We start from the raw sequence: 21,699 nt of genomic DNA, 5'->3' as shown, positions 1-21,699 counted from the left end.
TCAGAATTACCTGAGAACTTTCAGCATTTCAAGACTCCCCAGACACTATTCCAAGAAGTCTATTTTGTAGGTCGACTACAGGGCTTAGATGATCCTGATGTATGCCAGGTTTGGGAAGCTCCAGCCTAAATGACTCTCTCCACAAATGGTATCTATTTACCATTCAGTCACTAAGCTTTTATTGAGCACTTCCTGGGTGTGCTGCCCTAAAGAGAATTCTCCCCAAATATTCTCTACATTTTAGGTCCACAGAACTTCTGTCTCCTTATCACTTCTACCCTTGGACTATTTTAACAAAATATGCCCTCTTGAATACAATTTTGCCACCTGAAGCTTCTAGAAAAAAACTAACATTTAACTATAATCTTTCCTCTTTTAGACTCTACCCATCATTTCACTTTAAAACACTAAAACAACCTGTTCCTCCCACTGACATTGGTGATTTTCTTTTGTACCATCTCAGCCACCTAAATCCTGCAACAGTGGCTATCATTTATTGTGCAACTAGTATGTGCCAGACACTATGCTAATGATCTTATATTTGTTTTGTCATTTAATCTTCACAACCACGCTGTGAGTCAGGATTAATCCTCAGGTTGCAAAGGTCGAGACTGGGGGAGAAGAGAGGAAATCACTTAGCCCATCCACACAGTGAGAAAGGGGGAGAGCTGAGACTCAGACCCAGAGCTCAGCACAGTGCCTGACACATACAGGCATTCAACAGGTATTCACTGAATGAACGAATGAATGAATGACTCGAAAGCTTACATCCTAAGTGCTCTCCTCAACCTGCACACTTGAGTCTCCATGCTCTAGAGTGTATTCCTAAAATATCCACTCATTGACTATTTTCTCTTTGGTTTAATCTCTTTACCCTGATTTTTAGTCAATGTTTCTATCATTTTTGTAGCAGTTTCTGAAATTTATTTTTTAAAATGCATGTGCAATGTCACTTATTTGGGAGCAATCTGAATACATATGAGGAACTCGTAACATAACAGTAGTTAGTTCACAATTGGTATTTTCTGATATCAGTTATGGCCCTGCTTTTCTGCTCAGTGGAAATGTGATGAGAGAAAAGGAAATGCTTAGGCATCTCTGGGACCTGCTTTTCAGCACATTAAATATTGGGGTGAATGCTATTGTATTTCATTGGCTGTGAGTGAATAACTTGGACAAGGAAAAGGAAGTCAGTTAACCAGTATGGTGAGAGCATGGTAGCTGGCAGTATGATTATTTCCACAAAGAGGCCAACTTCAATTTGTTAATATTTTAAAACAGGAAGGAAAATTACATACATTTCTCTGTATGGCTGGTACACTGATGGACATAAATGTCTCTCCTATCATTTGATACTAAGAGATAATATCAAAGACATATTCAAATACACACTAATAGCTGGCCAGCTAATGTTTCGTAACACATATCTCAGCAATGGTCACTGATTTTCTGAATGACTTCTCTTTTTATAACTGGTACCAAATCAAGGTCATGGACAGAATTGGGTTATTGAAACCAAGTAGGCCGGGCGCGGTGGCTCACGCCTGCAATCCCAGCACTTTGGGCAGCCAAGGCGGGTGGATCACGAGGTCAGGAGATTGAGACCATCCTGACTAACATAGTGAAACCCCATCTCTAATAAAAATACAAAAAATTAGCCGGATGTGATGGCGGGCGCCGGTAGTCCCAGCTACTCGGGAGGCTGAGGCAGGAGAATGACGTGAACTTAGGAGGTGGAACTTGCAGTGAGCCGAGATGGCGCCACTGATTCCAGCCTGGGTGACAGAGCAAGACTCCATCTCAAAAAAAAAAAAAAAAAAAAAAAAGAAACCAAGTGACCTGTTCTTCTCTTTTAAAATTTTGGATAATTCCTCAAGTCCCTTATTACATTTCTTAAAACCCAGTATGATTTAAAGAGCCATGACGGAGTAGGGGAAGGGTTTGAATTATTAGTAGTTAAGAAAATTTGATTTAAGGAATACTGAACAGCAAATGCTATAAGCTTTTCAAAACATTTACATGATTATAATAAAAGGATAAAATATTTGAGAATCAGTATGACAACTAAAATAGCTCAATTTAAGAAACTCAGTGCAAAATGCCCTTAAAAGATGGAAAAAGAAAGGCTGCCTGCACCAAGCTAACAAGAAACATCAATGTAAATTTCCAAAATATATGGAAATCAAGGTCACCCAATAACCAATAACACAGCCTCTTATCAGGGCCTCATTATTTACCTTTTCTCATTTTTTCCGCTTGTTCTTTCCACTGCTTAACTTCATTTTCATTAACCAACCTGTGTAAGAGTTCAAGGAGCATTTATTACAAAAAATATAAAAGGTCCACTGCTAACTGCATTCTCCCCAGGTACAAAAATAGTCTACTGCAGAGAAAATCCTCAGTGCATGCTTGAAACCCATTTAAGACCAGATGTTACTTAGCTATAGTGCATGTGTACAGTAACTCATATTTGACCCCTAGAACATTTCAGCTCTCCCAGCTGTTACTCTGAAGTAGGATAAAATAAATATCTTACATTGTCACCATTATCTCACAGCAGCAGAATAAGAAGAGACTTACATTCGTACGACATTCTTAATATTAAAGTTTTCCAAAGGTGTGGAGTCAGGGTCCTGTCCTTTGTCATTCTGGATAACTATCTGCTGTATAATTCTATCTAGTAGTAGCCAGTACTGAACAGTGTTGCCACTCCTCTTGTCTAAAAAAGAAAAGAATAGTGAAAAAAAATCTTCAAGTTGTTTCTAAGCTAGGATGAATATTTGTCAATGGTGGTCACCCTTTAAAGCCACCAAACCAGAGATGTTTATAACATCTGCACCAATGCTTCCCAAAGTTATGGAATTTTGACATGCAATGATCATTTATTTGATTGAGAGGTACCCTCTACCCCTTTCTGAACAGGTTGTAAGGCATATTTTTTATTTTTAAAATCAAAATTTTAATTTGTTTCATTTAAAAAATTTTGTAACACCCTTTAAGCCATGTAGACACACATACTTGGCTGTCATAAAACCAAGGCTTGGAATCCCTGGTGTGCACCCAATGTAATCAGCACTGTGCAGGAGCCAGAACCCATTAGGACAATGTCCAAACATTCAGAAGCACACATGTGAGTCACGAACACACTTACAAGGCATTTGGAGGCAGTGGTGCAGGATGGACATGAAATGCGGGTAAGCTTCACTATGTGTCAGCCTCTTCCTGGTCAGCTCAAACATCTGAGTTGCACTTTTTGTGTCTATGTGAACCTATTTCACAGGAAAAAGAAATCAAATCAAACATCTAAGTTCCTCAGTTTCCCCAGTGTAAAGTAAACTCAAAGCAAACAGAAGCTAATCCTGCCACTTAGGAAACAAAATAGAGCTTTGAGTTTGCTTTTAGGTTGCCCTAAAGTCCATGTGGACTCTACAACACACATTACAGACAGAAATAATGTGAACTGATGAATCAAACCAGAATAATTGTAAGCATACGTACCAGTTCAAATCTTTTGGCAAATTCTAGTTCATCTTCATTTCGGAGCATTTCAAAAAAGTCTAAATGCCTGAAAAATAATGAAAGAAAAGTTATTAAGTAGAACATCCTATAAACACAGGTGCATAAGACTGAGGACATTAATATCATGGTTTTTCCTGACTTTTCAGAGATATCTCAAAAAGGAACAATGTAACAAAATTTGAAAGCTTCAACTTTGTTCTTTCTAAGAAAAAAAGACATCACCTGAGCGAAACAGATCACAATATGAGAAAAATTTAAAAGTCTACGATGCCTAGCATACAGTAGGCAATTATTAAATTAAAACTAAATCTAAAAACAATCAAGTTCAGATTCCACTATGGATTCCCTTTATGGAAAAACATGCCCATATACCTACACTTAACTTCCAGCTGAATTAAAGATCACAAAAGAAATGATCATGCCATTCATTTATTCAGTCACATATGTATTGAGCTCCTACTATGTATTCTACACACCCAGGATACATTTTATGAAGACAAACACATCAGGGTAAAGGAAATAGAAAATGATGGCAGATGAGGTGAATAATGTACACACAGTGGTTAGAACAGGTCTCTCTCCAGGGAACTAGGGAACCAACAATTTGGACATCTGTGAAAGATCTTTTGAAGCTGAGGAAACAGCAAGCGCAAAGGCACTGATGCAAGAGTGTTCACAGAATATCAAGAAGAAGAGCATGTTGGAGTATATGAATATACAGGAGAGGAGAGCCGTGGTAGAGAAAAGCTCTGAAAGCAAGTTGGGATAGCTTAGACTCAGTGAAATGATAGCAAACGATGAAATGAACAGGTAGTGGAAATTAACATTCACAGAATGCCTATCAAAGGGGCTAAGTAATTCCATAGGTTTTATAGTCAATTTTTACATCATTCCTGGAAAATCACTGTCATTATCATCATCACCACCAGCACTATCTTTTGCAGTTATAAAAACAGCAAAATTCAGAAAAATTGAGTAACTTCACCAGGATACACAGGAATAAGAGGCAGGACTAGGATAGGATATGAATTCAGGTCTAATGCTAAAACCCACATTAAGTTCTCTACATAATGTGCTGCTTCCCTCATCAACAAAGTCTTACTATGAAAACATCATTAGCTGAACTAACATTCTGATACAAGCTCTTTATGTTACAGACAGGGCACAAGTAACCACAGGCCAGCACTTGATGAGGTATTGCATTACACAGATGGGAAACACAGAAACTTTCTCACATCATAATAGTCTGACTTACCTATCTAATGTTGAATTTTCGTGTTCCCTTAATTTATCTATTACAGGTTGAATTCCTAACATCAGAAATTCATAGCGAAGATGAAGTCTAAAGTCCAAACTCTCCTGAAAGTAAAATGGCAATAAAATACATATTTGTGGTTTTTAGACTACATAATAATCACTTTTTATAAATTATTATTTACTAATATATTTTTAATTTGTAGAAGGTTCTTACCACTCCTGCACCTTGGCTGAGCACTGCATTAATGAAGGACATGATGGCAGTCTTGAGACTCACTTCATCTCGATACCGCCCAGTGCTTTTATCCAAGTCGTTAATTAATGTCTATCAAAAATAGAAAAACAAAGGACTGAAACGTTACTAACCTTATGCTCATTTTATGAATTTTTTTATACTCAAAAGTTAACTTTTTTTTTTTTTCAGACGGAGTCTTGCTCTGTTGCCCAGGCTGGAGTGCGGTGGCATGATCTCAGCTCACGGCAACCTCCACCTCCCGGGTTCACGCCATTCTCTTGCCTCAGCCTCCCGAGTAGCTGGGACTACAGGCGCCCACCATCACACCCAGCTAATTTTTTGTATTTTTAGTAGAGACGGGGTTTCACTGTGTTAGCCAGGACAGTCTCGATCTCCTGACCTTGCGATCCGCCTGCCTCAGCCTCCCAAAGTGCTGGGATTAGAGGTGTGAGCCACCAAAAAGTTAACTTTTAAAATCTTACGTTTAGACAGGATTACACTGACCCATAGAAAGCCACCCTTTTTCTCCTTAAGAACAGTCCTAAAAACTCTAATTTCAAAATTCTTACATCATACATACATGTATACAAAAGCCTTTGCTTCATTATCTCTGCTTGCTTTTTACATCCAAGTAATATAGTGAAATATGAAAAATTATTAATATTGATCCTAATTCAAGAATGGCAAGCTGTAAAATTTTCAGGGAACACCCAGTTTGGTGGGTTCAAAAGATGTGTGCTATATGACATATAGGATGCAAGACCACATTTTCAAGTTCTGCAAATCTAAAGGCCCAGATTCATCAACTATTGAAAGTATACTCTATTCTCTGGTTCTTAAACCTAAGAAGAAGGGAATGTTTAAAGTCACACTGTGAGTAATCACCACAAGAGGACATCTCAAGTAACATTCCCCTTTCAGGGACAGGAAAAGCACGTGTTTGAGCAGACTTTAAAGAAGGGGTGAGTGAAGAAGGCTGAGCGAACACCCACCTGAAAGCGGGTCCTTTCGCTGGCATACTTCTGGTAGTGCAGCATGGCCTGCAGAACCTTCTTGTGGCCCCCGGGAACCAGGCACACGGCGCCCAAGATTTCCAGCACGGCCACCTTCGTTTTAATGTTCTCTGTGCTCAGACTCTGAGCAATTACATTAATACTCTCAGAATGAGCCAGGACGTGAGCCCGGCCTTGAGAGTTGTTCATTAACGCCTTTATACAGCCAATGAGAGAAGTATGTATTCGAGACTCTGAGGTCTCGTAGTCCATGGTCTTTAGAAAGTTGAGGATACATGATAGGCCATCCAAGTCGATGAATCTGGTTACAAACCTGTCATGAAGAGAAATGCACCATGCTTAAGTGCCTTTGGGTTTTATAATAGCCCCTAACAGAAAAGTCTAGAGGGCAGGGGAAAGAAAGATTTAGTTCCTAAAGTGCCAAAAGGCTTACATTGATGAAGTCTTTTTAATTCTTTGCCTCTTCCTTGGCACAGACCCAATAGTCAGTTCTAACCAAAAGTGTGAAAAAAAACCCCTCCATTTGTGATAAACATATCTCAATGGGTACAAAGAACCAAACAACAGATCATATATTCATAAAAAATTAGAAGCAAGAGAATACTCGGAATACATATCTTGTCTTAGATTAAAACCATCTGCTGTTCCTGTGTTATTTAGCATACAGTTCCCATGCCCCCACCCCAATCCTTTTTTTTTTTTTCTTTAAGAGAGACAGGGTCTTGCTCTGTCATAGCTCACTGCAGCCTTGAACTCTTGGGCTCAAGTGATCCTTCCACCCCAGCCTCCCAAGTAGCCGGGACTACAGGTGCGTGCCACCATTCCCAGTCAATTTTTTCTTTTTAACTTTTTTTTTTAAGAGGTGGAGACTTGCTATGTTGCCCAGACTGGTCTTGAACTTGTGGCCTCAAGCAAACCTCCTGTCTCAGCCTCCCAAGTAGCTGGGATAGTGAGTGACCATGTCTGGCCCATGCGCTTTTATATGTTGATTGCTGACGCACTTTTAAGTGCTGATCACTGACCCAAACACCCTATCAATGAAAGTCAAAAGCTTCCTTAAATTCCAGGATATTTGCTTGTTGAACAAATGATAATCTACATCCCTAAGGTTTTGTGACAAAATTCTTCTCTTATATGACATGCTACATGGAATCTCAATATTCCATGTACACTGAATACAATAATAAAGCAATACTTTATTGTTGCATACTAACGTTATTAATATTTCTTACACTTAAGTTAATCAATGAGACTAACTCACAATGCACATGTACATATTAAAGCCACCGAAAAGTTCAGAAGTAACATAACCTGTTTATGTGATAAATTTTCCAAACTTATTTAGGCTTGGATATCGATTAACATCTGAGAGTGCAGAACATATTGAGAGAAATGCTGATACAGTTAGGATAGTCTAGATCTCTGTCATATAACTACACAGTATTTTTCATGAGTCAGACTTTTCTTAGTTTGCATTTTATAGTCAAATAAAGAAAGGGAATCTTTATTTTCTAGGCTTTTCACCCAACCACATGACCCAGATGTAGCCAAGCTCGTTAAACCAGTTGGCTTCATTCATAGCACCTGTGCTCATGTAATGTACTTATAAGAACCTCAGCATCTCAGCAAATCCTAGAGGCATTAAAGGAATGAAAGTGCAGGAGGCACAACATAGAAGCTGATTATCAGAGAGGAAATGAATCACTGTTGCCAGAAAGTGTACCCATCTTTAAAGAAAAGTAATACTTGTATTGAGAAATAATTCACATGCCATAAAATTCACCCTTTTAAAGTGTACAATTCAGTAGCTTTTAGTATATTCACAGAGCTGTGTGACCAACAACACTAGCTAATTTTAGAACAGTTTAATCACCCAAAGAGAACATTTTCCCCACTTCCTCAGCTCCTGGCAACCACTAATCTACTTTCTGTTTCTATGGATTGGCCTATTCTGGGAATTTCTTATAAATAGAATCATACAGTGTGTGGTCTCCTTTGTTACTGGCTTCTCCCACTTAGCATATTTCAAGGTCATTTCATGTTGTAGCATGTATCAGTACTTCATTCCTTTTTTTTGTAGCCAAATTATATTCCATTATGTGGATATATAACATTTCATTTATCCATTCATCAGCTGATCAATATACGGGTTATTTTCACTTCTTGGCTATCATGAATAATGCCGATATGAACATCTGCATACATGTTTTTGGGAGACATGTCTTCATTTCCCTTGGCTACATTCCGAGGAGCAGAATTATTGAGTCATATGGCAACACTATATTTAACATTCTGAGAAACTGTTAAAACCCTTTTCCAAAGTGGCTTCACAATTTTACATTCCTAGCAGCAATGAATGAGGGTCCCAATTTTTCTACATTCTTGTCTACTAACTTACCATTGTTAAAGTCTCTCTCTGTTTTGTTTTTTTTTAGCCATCCTAGTGGCTGCCTACATACCTTTTCACAGAAGAAAATAACTTTATTAAATGTTAATGATTAAAGTATGTTATGGTTTAATTTTATGGTTTTAACTTAAGACTTCCTAGAAGGTTTGACTATTGCAAAAAAAGGAAGGAAGGAGAGAAAAAAAAAAAACATGCCATCCAGGGGAAAATTACCTCATTGGTTTTGTCCTCAGTGCTGTCTTTAAACTCTCTATAGTTTTACTTCTTTCTTCTTCTTCTTCCTTCTCTAAAGCCAGCAGAGATTTTCTCTATGCAAAGAAAACAGAAGTTACTTCTTCAAATTCTATTTTTTAATTACAGTACAAACAAGACAAACCTACAGATTATTTGTCACTATCACTTTAAATATAAACAACAAATCTATGATTAAGTAAGTTAAGTCTTTCAAATTTTAAATAAAGCCTTAGGGAAAAGTTTAGAAATCTTCGTAGAGATGACGTTGCCCAAATGCTTGTATAACTATTCTATAATTACACTTTGATGTAGATACTACTACTTGTATTTGATAGAAATAAGACTGAACCTGTAGTTGAATACAACATTCTGGCAATTAAAGATAATAATACCATCACATTATCAAAAACAGGAGGTGGGCAGCAGTCCTCCTATGCTACCATTCCTATTCCTCAGCCAAAAAGTGTAATCAAGACCAAAGGGATTTTGTTACATCTAATTATTTTTTAAGAGGAAAAATTAATTTGGAGCTATTACTAGGATAGACAATTCCTTCAGAGTAAATGCGTAACTTCTAGAAATTATTCAACATCATTTAGAAATCAGGATATGGAGTGAGTGTGTGTGTGTGTGTGTGTGTGTTTCTACCCAGGGATCTGCTAGAGCAGTGCTTCTCAAACTTTAATATGGATATGAAAATCACCTGAGGATAGTGTTAAACTATGGAGCCTGGTTTGGTATGTCTGGGGTGAGGTCTGAGATGTTGCATTCCTGACAAATTTCTAGGCAATGCTGATGCCGCAGAAGCAAGGTTCCATGTAAGATTGCAGTTGTTATTATAAAATTGAGAATGCCAGTAAGGTGTCTAGACCTTTCCATTCCCTTTCACTCTGTGATCACCTGGTTGCACTAAAGTACCCCAAGTCTTATGACTCCAGGATCCTCCATCCATGGAGCTCCTGGTCCCTTTTCTTCATCCTATTCTGAACACACGCTTGTCTAGTTTAATCTTTTTACCTATTACAAATTCTGATAGAAATGCTTGGCTGAGAAACAGATTGGGGTGACTGTATTGAAAAAGAAAAGCTTGACTCATATCCATGGGTCTCAATGACCCAGTCTCAGCCTTTCTTTCAGGACCATAACTCATCAAGAGTGACAATCAATAGTATCAGCATTAAGTAACTAATGTTAACTAAAAGCTAAATATGATTTCATAATGAGAAGGGTAAAGATCAAAGCAAAATAAATATAATACATCAGTATCATTTATGGCAACTGAAATAAAACCCAGTAGTTTTTTCGGTCTTTAAAATCTTGTTATTGTTTCTGCAAAGTTGTCCTCTTGCTGGTGATGCTCACAGACAGCTGTCACCAGGGGATGGTGAGTAAGGAAGCTGGGTGCAGAGACAGCCAATGAATTCTCCCAAAGCTCCCTGAGACCCATCCCCTGGAAAACTCACACAAATCCAGCCAAGAACGTTTAATCTCCAATGACATAGCTGAACTCGTTTGGACTCTTATGCAATCACTTTGAATCTGTAGCTCAGAATCCAGCCTTTTATGAAGATCATTCCTTGTTCCTAAGCTTAATGACACAAAACTATCCCCAAATTAATGACTACACATTTTACTGCGGGTCACTAGTACAAATAAAACTGCATGTATTTATCCTTTTAAAAATCCTGGAGAGGGTGGCACATTTGAATAGCAGCAGTCTATATTAAGTTTCTCCATACTAGAGTTGGGAGATTTATGAAATGTCAAAGAAAATTAAGTTGGAAATTCCTTTCCCAATACTGTGTAAGGAACATAACCTTTCAAAACAGAAAAGACTACAACATTTTCTATGTGTGATTTTTCAGATTTGGTTCTGAGATTATATTTATCGTGCTGAGATAACTGAGGATATGTAGCTGAACTTGATGTTCTAAATGTGACTTTTCAAAATAAAATAATTTCTACAAAGTTTAAAGCTTTCAAGCCTCACATTTAGGAAGAAGGTTTAATTTGCAACTTTTAGTAGATAAGGGAGATGCCTAGATTTCTGAAGATGATTACTATGCCAAATATCTAGTATGCACAGGCCTTGTGGAGGCTTCTTTGAATGCTCTATGCACTTACTAAATACCTGCTCACATGAGAAGCAGGCAAAGGACAAAGCGCATCCTTGCAGAGGGTCTTTCTGTCAAAGCTGCTAAGGTGTACATTGGAACACGCGGGTCTGACAGAGAGGCACAAATGTGGCCCAGAGGTCATTCCTGCTGGGAGTCTGGAACTTAGCTCCCGTTTGAATCGTTTCTTTGGTGGGAAATCAATAAGCCAGTCCACTAAGCATACTGAACTTCACCTCACAGTCTTCCTCCTTGAGAAAGCATGGAGAAACCACATATAAAGAAAGCCCAGGTCCTTCTAGATGTTAGGCCACACTCTTTATTATACTATTTTTCACTCTTTAAAAGCCAACAGATCACTCAGGGGTCCTTTAAAGAACAAAGCATTCTTGTAATGAGGCTTACATAAAGTAATTGAACTTGTTCCAAAAAGGCTGGCTTCACAGACTAGTAAGTGCTGCAGTTCTCCACCTGGACTGTTTATCAGACTCTTAAGACATTAAAGAAAACAGAAGCCTATCCCATCTCAGAAAAGTCAGGCTTGCTAGGCCTGGGGGTGGGGAGAAGGTGGGATAACCAGGGCTCTTTCACATGCCACAGGGTTTCAAAAACTGAATTAGTGAGAGGCAAATTGGAAAGGAGTCTTTGGGCTTAGACGGATACATTTAAATTCCCAATTAGATGACCACCTCCTAATTAGATAACCTTGGGCAAGGTAACCTTTCTGGAGTCTCAGACTCCTTATCTATAAATAGCACTTACAGCATAGGATGCTGGTGGGACCGCAAACAACATATGAAGTGCCTGTTACCCTGCTTGTCATGTAGTAGTTGCTGCTGATTCTGCAGACAATGGGTGATGACAATGTGGACAAACACTCCTTCAAGAATGCCCTAAGCAGACAACCAAAGAGTCTAGCTGCTGGGCCATGAAAGGATTTGGAGAACTTGTGTGCCTTTCCACTGCTCCAGGTACAATATCTCAGGATTTCTGCTGTGTGTTATCAAGAATTCTCCAGTACAGACATCATAGTGATTAGCCAGAACTATGCAAGGCGGTGGTGGCAATCAGAATGTTGAGAAAAACAGAAAACTCAGCATAGGGTTTCTGGTCTCATCAGATCTCCTTATTCCCTGAAGTATGCAGGAATTTTGAGGCCTCACTAATTCATGGACTATTAATGCCTTTTACCTTTGACCCTGGAAAGATGTTGGCTCAGTCCTAAAAGGAACATTAGAAAGCTTTCTTAGGTGTTTGACACAAAAAGTATAGCAAAGTCACTGACAATTTAATAGACTTGTGGTGCTCTTGGGAAGGATTTTGGATTGGGAACCAAACACACAGCAGTTAAAATGTAGATCACTCAAGAATGTGGCAAAGAATTGTCCAAGGAGCTGGATGGAGGAGAGAGGAGGCCCTTAAAGAAGGGCCACATGTTGGCACATCACAGACCCTGTAGCACACAAATGAACCAGGTCTACTTCAGACAAGGCAGGGATTAAGTCACTAAAGGACAAATTAATCTAACTGTCCTATACTTGAAGAAAGGAAAAATCCATACAGTACTTAGTAGTTCCCCATTTATAGAAGGGAATTCATTAACAAATAAGCAACTTCTCATTAGATAACAAACATGCAAATTTAATTAGAAAGAGAAACAATTCTTTTTTTCCTAACAGCCAGGAACAAGAATTCAGAAAATAGCCTTTATATGCAGGAAATATAAATGGCTCCAAATTATTATTGCTTAGGCAGATGCACAGAAAATCCCTGGTGGTCATCACAAATCTCACATTCTGTTAGCATATTCATACAAATGCTGAGATCACCCTTTTCTCATCTTTGGCATTGTGTGAGATGCCTTGAATAAGAAGGATTTGGTGGTTATTTTCTGTCCATTTCTGCTATGCTTTTAGACTAGAAACCCTTGGGGAAAAACTTATGTAGTTTCTTCTATAATTTATATATATAGGCTGTTTATTATTCATTGTATGACAACAGAAGAAGCATCTTGTAAGAAAAAAGCTAAAAAAGAGGAAGTTACTAAAAGTCAAGACCTCTAAAAGTTTAGGAAACATGTGAACGACTCACATATTCTAATCAGTTTTTAACTATTCCAGCAGCAGGAAAATGTTATGAGACCATTTAAAATGCTTGTTTTGAGTGATAAGAAATTTATTCTCCATAAAGAGAGAAGGCAGGAAGGAGGTAGAAGAAAGTATTCTAGAAGCTATCATCTACTTGCATGTTATAAACATGAATATAACAGATTGACTCTTAAAACCATGAGTGTGCCCACTGAGACAAAGACTGCATTCTACTATGGGCAACCTCTAATTCTTATCAACAGGGATGGGATTTAAGCTACTAAGGCTCAAAGGTTGATGACTTATTTTCTGCTGTGAATTTTAGCTGTGATGAATAGGTGTCCCTCAAGCTGCTGGCAATGCTGACATCACAGACATCCATGTGATTAGAATTCATATTTTAGGCATTGAGAATACATATTAAGCAATTACTGAACCAACAATCCATGTACTAAAGATTTTCCGAGGACATCTCAGCACTATTATTATGACGCCTTTTCATTAAACCACTTGCTTTATGAATTCCTGATCTATTATATGAGTAAAGAGTACTTGGTCCCCTGCAAAATCATGATGCCAGGAAATAACCAAGTTCTCAGTAAGAAAGAGAATGGGAGGGATATAGTAAAGAAATCGCTTAATCATATTATTTTAAAATGGTATTAACTTTTAAAATAGTGCTGCCATAACCAAGCTCCGAGTGACTGGTAAGAGCAATTGCAAGTTAAAGTTGAACACAAGCCAGATTTCAAACTACATTTTCACTTACAACATTAAACTCAATTATATTGCAGTGTGTGCTGATTTTATTTAAAACATACTGGAAAAATCACTTTGCCAAGTATCCCTCCTACCCTCTTTCCTTTCCCCAGCATTGAATGTTTAGGATGGAGTTTGGAAAGGTACTGACATTTGGTAGGTCATACTCAATCGAATTTATTGTGCAACTGTGTACTTTGTACTACACTTGCATTTTAAACAGTGTGTCAAAGAACATAAAAGTCTACTTACAGCAGCCATGGAATTGAGCTGATCAATGTAGAATTCAGGCCAACTTGTAGCTCCCTTGTTTTCTTCCTGGTCCTAAAAAGGGGGGAAAAAAAGTGACATACCACCCAACATATACACACAGCACCTAGAAACACATCCGACTTCCAGAGCACCCAGACAATGACCCACTCAAGCCTTTAGAAGACACGAAGGTATGACGTATTTATTTTTAAATGTTGGCTATAAATGATCAGACTGCCTACTTGACTAGGGTGGTCTTCCCAGCTCAATTTCCACAGAGAATGCTGAAGTGTGAGTTAGGTATAACAAGGGGACATTTTCTGAAGCGTGGATCAAGAAGAATTTAAGTGGTGTAAAGTTGTTTTCCTTCAGGGGCTATGTCACACTGGACAGTACTGTTAGACTATACACCTGGATGGAATCCATGAGAGAAGGAAACTTGCCTTAGGTGACCATAGGATTCAGCCAGTTATTAACCAAACTTTTTCAGTTAGTGTATTCAGACTCCATCAGACAGTAAAAACTTGAAGAAGGGTTTCATTTGATGTGGCAAAAATTAAGTACTGCTTCAGATGAAGAGGTAGAAGAATAAAGCCTGACATTGAATGGAAGGTAGTAAAATGAACTCACATTAGTTCCAGGCGCAGCCCTCATGCTGTGACAGCTCAGGAGTTTTGATAGAAAAGGTAGTGCCTCTGAGTGGAAAAGAACTGAAACCCAAAGAATTCAGGCACCGATTCCTAAACTGTCCCAGCCAGCCTTGCCTCTTACAGAGCAGGGTGACCTGGAGCCAGCCCCTAAGCCCCCCAGGGCTTCTGTGGATGGGAGATCTGTGCCAACCTGAAGCCAAATCTCAAAAAAAAAAAAAAAATCAGTTATCAGTGGCTGTGGCCTCTGGCTCCACCTGAACACTGAGCCCAGCAGAAGATGGCACTGTGGTCAGGGATTTCTATGCGTATTTGCACATCTATGTGAGTCACTTGTGTGATCAAACAGACCTGAAAAGGAAAATTTTGGTTCTTTAGCTTCACATTCAAAGACCACCTGAGGACAATGGATATCCCACCCTAGTGGAGAAGATGTTATGCCATGTACACACAGCTACTGTCTCATAATGAAGCAGTGACTACCTACTAGGTTTTAACATCTCTTTTAGTAGAGCTCTATATCCTGATGTCAGAATCCCAACCCTCAGGAGAGTGGTTTCAAGGTGGGGCATTTAATTTCAGTCCTATACTGTGCCTCGAAAAAACACTTTCTGTAAGCAAATCTTTCCAGACAGGTCTACACAGGTGGAATAAAAGAAATGCAATTTCAAAACTATTTTTTAAGTAGTCACAACAAGGGGGCAAAGTAACTATTGCTTACAGTGCCTTAAAAGCTGGCAGTAACTGATATCTCAACTCAGGCAGTTGTGTGAATTTCATCTGGAGATTGAAGAAGCCAGATGATGGGGACTAAGGCTACAGCAGAGGCTTTGAAGTTAGACTGGATTACACTCCCATAGTTTCACAACGTTTAGGAAATCTGATGAGTTTTTAAAAACAGGCCTTGGTTATACTTTAACATGTTAATAAAATAGCTATAGTGGTAGTATAAATGCTAAACCCTTCTTTCCTCTTAAAAGGGAGTATTAGCAAAACCCCACTCTTACCAATGTATTTAACAAGCCAAAACTCACAGTGATATTCAATGGTATTTGAACCTATAAAATGAAGCAGAAGGTGCCAGATCTCTCCATTCCCCCAAAGTAGGGCAAATTTCCAAAACTAAAACAAAATCAAGTCCCATGACTGAGGTCCCACAAGAGCCTGTCTGTTGTAAGCTTAATATTTAACAGTTACAGAAGAGAGACCATTCTTGAAACTGAAGATTGGTACACAGAGAGAAGTCTTTACAGTTTGGAAATGTTTTAATAATGCGAATAGATTAACAGCACACGTAGATATTGTCATCACAATAAGGGGAAGAAGGCTTCATTTTCATTTCACATGCCTCAGTGCTGAGAAAACCAAACAAGCTAGAGTATGTGAAAGTTTCTTGTAAATGTACTAACGTGATCCTCAGAGTTCTTAATTTGGGCAATGTATCTCCAGTTTCCCCTGTGCAATACTGGTCCCTGCATGCAGATGTGTGCTGCAGGAGCCATGTGAAACTCCCATCTCTGAACCAAAACTCTCTCTCCTCCTCCTTTGTGAGGCATTAAGAGTTTGTTGCTCTGTAGAAACATAGGCCAGAAGGAGATGAATGCAATTGTTCTCTGGCAGGAGGAGACAGGGGATCTGAACATTAATTTTATTATTTCTCTAATCCAACTCTTCCCTTTTTCTTAGGAGGTTAATAGACATCTATAAGAGAATATTCATGGACAAGATTTCCTGCTGGATGCAATTCACCTTGACACTTCTTGCTCTCAGCCTGCACTGACTACTGTTTTAACTTCTGTTCTAGATTGTATATACTTTGCTCCCATTATCCCAAATTCTGTGGATGGGGGAGCCCTTCACTAGGAAAGAGAACTTGTACAGTACAAAGTGCCTTCAAGAACACTGACTTTTGTTTTTTTAAACATCCAACTCTTTTAAAAGATAAAGAAATATACAATCTTTCTAGTTTCACCTTATTTCCAAATAGCACATTTTTCATTCCAAATTTCTGGTCAGTGGCTAGTAAAAAATTCTAAGAGATCCTCTCCCATCCTCTTTAAATGTACAAGGATGCATTTATTTTTCTCAACATCACTTTGTTGAGAATACATTTTACATTGTTTCTTCATTCTTCTTCTTACTGAGGTAGACATTCACAGCTATATCTGGGACTTCACTATCATCTCTACTCACCTCGAAGATGACTGTGATACACTTCTCTCACCACCAACAGCATTTGAATCCTTAGTCTCTCACTAGCTATGTGACTCTTAAGTAACCTCTTTGTGACTCAGTTTTCATTTCCTTACCTGTGAAATAGGTGCCTGCCTCCTCATAGCATCTTTGTGAGAACTTAAAAAGTTGATACAAATAAAGCAAGCACTGGGAAGAGTATACACAAAACACGCTCAATAAATGCTAGCTCTGACAATAATGATACTGTTCCAGAGTCTCCAGTTATGTCCATTCAGTGTCCTTACAGTAACTGGGACTGTAAAAATTACAGCAACCAGTTTGGAAGTAAATTTTGGTAGTAATTGTTCACATTTAAAATCCAGATAGCCTTTGACCCTGTAAGTTTACTTTCAGGAATTTAGCCTATAATTACATGTTCACACTTGTACAGATATATAATCACGAAAATTTTTCACTATAGCACTGTTTGAATTAACAAACAATACAAAGGGGAATAAATATATAGAGAGGGGCTAGGTGCAGTGGCTCACACCTGTAATCCCGGCACTTTGGGAGGCCAAGGTGGGAGGATCACTTGAGGCCCGGAGTTCAAGATGAGCCTGGGCAACATAGCAAGACCCCATCTCTCCAAAATAAATAAATAAATAAAACAATTAGCCAGGCTTGTTGACACATGCCTGTAGCCCTAGCTACTCAGGAGGCTGAGGTGGGAGGATCACTTGAGCCTAGGAGTTCACCAGCCAGGGTGACATAGCAAGATCCTATCTCACAAACAATAAAGAAAAGACAAGCAAATATACTGTCGGGGAGAGAATGCTTCAGAATATCATCTTTCCCATCTGTAGGGAAAAATATGTATACACTACACACAAACATTTCCAGAAATATAAATAAAACTTAACAATGGCTACCTCTGGATAACAGAAGGGAAGGTTTTCTTTTTTTTTTTTTTTAACTTATAAACTTCTATACCATGCAAATTTTTATTTTACCAAGAACATACACTATTTTTACAATTAGAAGTAAGTTCTAAAGCATTATGCATTGTCAGGACAAGAGCTTTGCTTTGTTTGACGTTTGGGGTGACATGGAATGCATCAAGACCCTTCAGCATCTGGAATGTCTCTGTCCTCCACTCCTGGGGCACCCCTCCACCTCCCACAGCAAATAATTTAAACCATTTCTCTACTAATTGTCTTCTCTTACTGGATTTCTATTTTTAAAACTCACCATAATGTCAATATCAGCTGTTTATGCAGAGAGAGAATCTCTGATTTGGGACAAGATTTGTATACCCAAAGCATGCTAAAATTTTCAAAATTTCTATACTCATATATTTAGAAATTTGTGTGACAAAAATTTCTTCGTAGCAGCTGAAGTCTTCTGTTGATATAGGTGAGACTCAAAATGCAGTTAGAAAATTAAGTCTTTAAGGAAGAATAACTTCTTCTGAAGTTAGCACAGGACACTTTCTTAATAGGATCATTTCCCAAATAATAATACATAAGTATGTCAGAGTTTTTTTGTTTGTTTTTTTTGTTTTTTTTCAGTTTAAGATGTTCTTAGTAAGGCCCAAAATAAGCTATGCAAAGGTCAATCAATTGTAAAGGACATGCTCTGCGGTTGTTCGCTAGACCACAAATCACAGGCTGAAGCAACATTCATTTAGTCAGCTAAAGCCATAAATCTCTATGTGTGCTGTTACGAATTGAGGAGGTTCTTAGATAATATCTGTCAAGGAAGAAAGACACACTCTTTAACTGTCTAGACTGGCTGAAACTCTTCTAGCAATGTATACTAATACCATCATCTCAAATATAGTGGAGATACAGTAAGGCTTAACCAAACAAATGTCAACAGCAGAAGAATACTGTTTCAGTATGACACAAAGTGAATTTTATTGTGATCATTTTCATTACAGGGGAAAGGCAAATAATTGCTAATAAAAACCTGCTCTCTTTGCAAAGAACCTGCTTTTAGAAATTTCAAGTGAACCGTAATCATATATAGAATGAAAAAATTCTATCCATTGTTAATAAGCAAAATAGTCACCTTGTTCATTAATTTGTCACTACTGGCCAGGCACGGTGGCTCACACCTGTAATCCCAGCACTTTGGGAGACTGAGGTGGGTGGATCACTTGAGGCTGGGAGTTCGATACCAGCCTGGCCAATATGGTGAAACCCCATCTCTACTAAAAATAAAAATAAAATAATAATAATTTTAAAAAAGTTAGCTGGGCATGGCGGCGCATGCCTGTAATCCTAGCTACTCAGGAGGCTAAGGCGTGAGAATCGCTTGAACCGGGAGGCGGAGGTTGCAGTAAGCCGAGATCGCACCACTGCACTCCAGCCTGGGCCACAGAGCAAGACCCTGTCTCAAAAAAAAAAAAAAAAGGAAAAAATTTGTCACTACTATTCTAGGTAACACCAGTCCAATCCCATACACTAATGAATACAACAAACATTAAATAAATTCACTCTACACCTAAAATTTATACAGAAACCTAGGCAGAAAAGGGCAGATAGGCCAAAATAGTTTATTGTGTTAGGTTATAACTCCATGATGTGTGGCATCCAAAAGAACTCTTATGTTAGAGAATAGGTGCCAACATAAGACCAGGTCCAAGCAACAGAGAAAGAGAAGCACAGAAGATGGAAGATGTAAAAATATTTGTGGGCGGCCTTGCTAGTAATTTCTGCTAACTTCCCCCTCTGGCTCATAACGGTGTAAACAGCATCTTCTCGAAGATGGCTACGATAAAGTGTGGAACAATCTGGAACAACCAAGGGTCGCAAACTTTTCCTGTAAGGAGCCAGACAGGAAATATTTTAGGCTTTGTAGACCACACAGTCTGTTGTAGCTATTCAACTCTGCTGTTGTGTAGTAAGAAATCAGCCACAGAGAACACTTGAATGAATAGGCAATGCCACATTTCAGCAACACTTTATTTACTAAAACAAGTGACTGGCCAAATTAGCCCACGGGCCATAGTTTGTCAACCCCTGTGTGCTAGATTAAGCTTGGCTCTCAAGAGGGCTGGATTACATCAAAATCCTAACTTGGTCACCAACTATTTTTCATGTATCAAGCTGCCGCTATAAATTAAGATAAGCTCATAAAGTGTTTGGAATTTGCCCAGTAACCTGAACTTTTTCTAGAGAAGCAGTGACCTACCATGCCTGTGAAGTGTACCTTCTTGCCAAGCTCACTGCTCCCTGAATCTATATTTAATCCTACTTTTTGAAAATAGCAAAGCATCATTAGGTCCTTTAAATCCTGATATTTGCCCCCAACTCTTTCCATCTGGCTCTTCCTTTTTGGGGGCAAAAAAGTAGTAGGAGATTTAAAACTTGGAGTTTGGAGATTGTTGCTTTCCTCATTCCCTCCAATACCTAACTTTAACCCCTGGTGGTGAGCAAAACTATATTCTATATCTGAAGCTTGCCAAAAGAAGGGCAATTGGTTTCAGAAAATAATTCCTGTGTTGTCACATTCCAAGATAGCCATGTGGTCCCTGGGACTGCCAATCCTGGTTACATTTTTTGGCCACTGCCACAATTATATATCAAGTACATCTGTTACCAAAATCCGGTTGGGCCCACACAAAGAATGATTACAGAACAGTGGCTTCTTCATCTGCCAGGAAATCCACCACCTCCTCCTAAGCCTCAGAATGTCAGTCATTTTTCTGGAAAGACTGAATGATGACTTGCAATAACAGTGGCTCTCACATGCAGCAGGAGAAATTATGGAAGAAAGAGTAAACCTTCTCCATTTTTCCTAATGTTTTAATAAAACATGTGCATGTTTTTAACCAAAGCCATCACAGGATTATATAACTGGTCTTTGACCCTAGAGACAACCTGGGCTGAGTTTCCTCTCACAGGGGTCCCTTATAAGGTTACCAGCAGGTGATCCATCATCTGCTCTTGAGAAGGCTTCCAGAGGTCCACAATCTTCTGGAACTAGCACTCTCATGAACTGTTAAAAAATTCACCGGACACTGAATTGACAGATGTCTCCTTGTAACTTCAAGCACTTGTTGGCTTTTGTTTGGTCCCTGGGAACTGCATGGAATAAGTTTAATCTCTCCTATGAACAATGACCCAGCAAATATTTAAACAATTTGAATAAAGTGATTATATCCTCCCCAAATCTTCCCTTTTACAAGCCAGAAATTCTCTACTGGCCATATAACACAAGTTTATCTTCCTCAATTCATAAACAAATCTCAAATTTTCTATAAGTTCATCATACCCTCATGTCCATTAATTGCAGGGATAACTTTAACAAACATAACTAAGCTCCTATAAAAGGACTATTTTCACATATTTGTATTAGTCATTCACAGTTCTATACAAACTCTACTGAGAGGGAAGATTTCTATCCAAAATGTCTCTCCAAGAAGAAAAAGAACAAGCTCTCACTCTCCTGATAGTCCTCACAGATAACATTTATGACTTAGAATAAAAGACACGTCATATTAAGTGGAGGGAAACTTGTTTAGTCCTTGCTTTATTAAGTATACATATTTTAACAAAGTTGGCCGTAAACTAAATAGCAAAATGGGTTTTCTCATTATAAGACTGAGGATGCTTCACATCTAAAACATAAATCTAGGTTAACAAAATTGAAACTACATGAATAGGACCTCGACTCGCCAGCTGTCAAGAAATTTGGGGGGACATTTAAGTCCCTTTAGAGCATTGTTTTTTACACCTCCAGATGACTTTTGCTATCTCCACTATTCTCCTGTATAACCATCCGTTCACATATCATAGGAATTTTTTCCATGTATGCATATGAAGCCTGATACCTCCTCTGACCCCCCAGGGCTCTGCTCCTTCCTTTTCTTTGGTTTATGCAGGTAGAAAGACTAGTTGAGCCAATACAAAATGCCACGTTTGCCCAGAGAAAGCCTCTTGCTACCATATCACGTATTCAAAAATAAAATATACTTGAAGATTTCAGATCAC

General features: G+C 38.5%; 1 protein-coding gene across 5 annotated transcripts in view; it reads right to left on the bottom strand.

Moving 5' to 3' along the window:
• Window positions 1–21,699, bottom strand: part of DAAM1 (dishevelled associated activator of morphogenesis 1) — a 182,739-nt gene that overhangs the window by 42,177 nt on the left and 118,863 nt on the right. For all 5 annotated transcript variants that reach the window (XM_005267431.2, XM_047431135.1, XM_005267430.3 and 2 more), the window contains 9 exons: window positions 13,878–13,949; window positions 8,645–8,739; window positions 6,004–6,337; window positions 4,991–5,101; window positions 4,775–4,878; window positions 3,499–3,565; window positions 3,152–3,269; window positions 2,581–2,719; window positions 2,238–2,296 (listed from right to left, as the gene is read on the bottom strand). In XM_005267431.2, the coding sequence (XP_005267488.1) occupies window positions 2,238–2,296; window positions 2,581–2,719; window positions 3,152–3,269; window positions 3,499–3,565; window positions 4,775–4,878; window positions 4,991–5,101; window positions 6,004–6,337; window positions 8,645–8,739; window positions 13,878–13,949 (1,099 nt within the window). The remainder of the gene's footprint in view (window positions 1–2,237; window positions 2,297–2,580; window positions 2,720–3,151; window positions 3,270–3,498; window positions 3,566–4,774; window positions 4,879–4,990; window positions 5,102–6,003; window positions 6,338–8,644; window positions 8,740–13,877; window positions 13,950–21,699) is intronic.

This window comes from Homo sapiens, chromosome 14 (assembly GCF_000001405.40).
Source record: "Homo sapiens chromosome 14, GRCh38.p14 Primary Assembly".
NCBI classification, from domain to species: Eukaryota; Metazoa; Chordata; class Mammalia; order Primates; family Hominidae; genus Homo; species Homo sapiens.
Note: the sequence above shows the minus strand (reverse complement) of the source record. Positions and strands in the feature narration are given on the sequence as shown.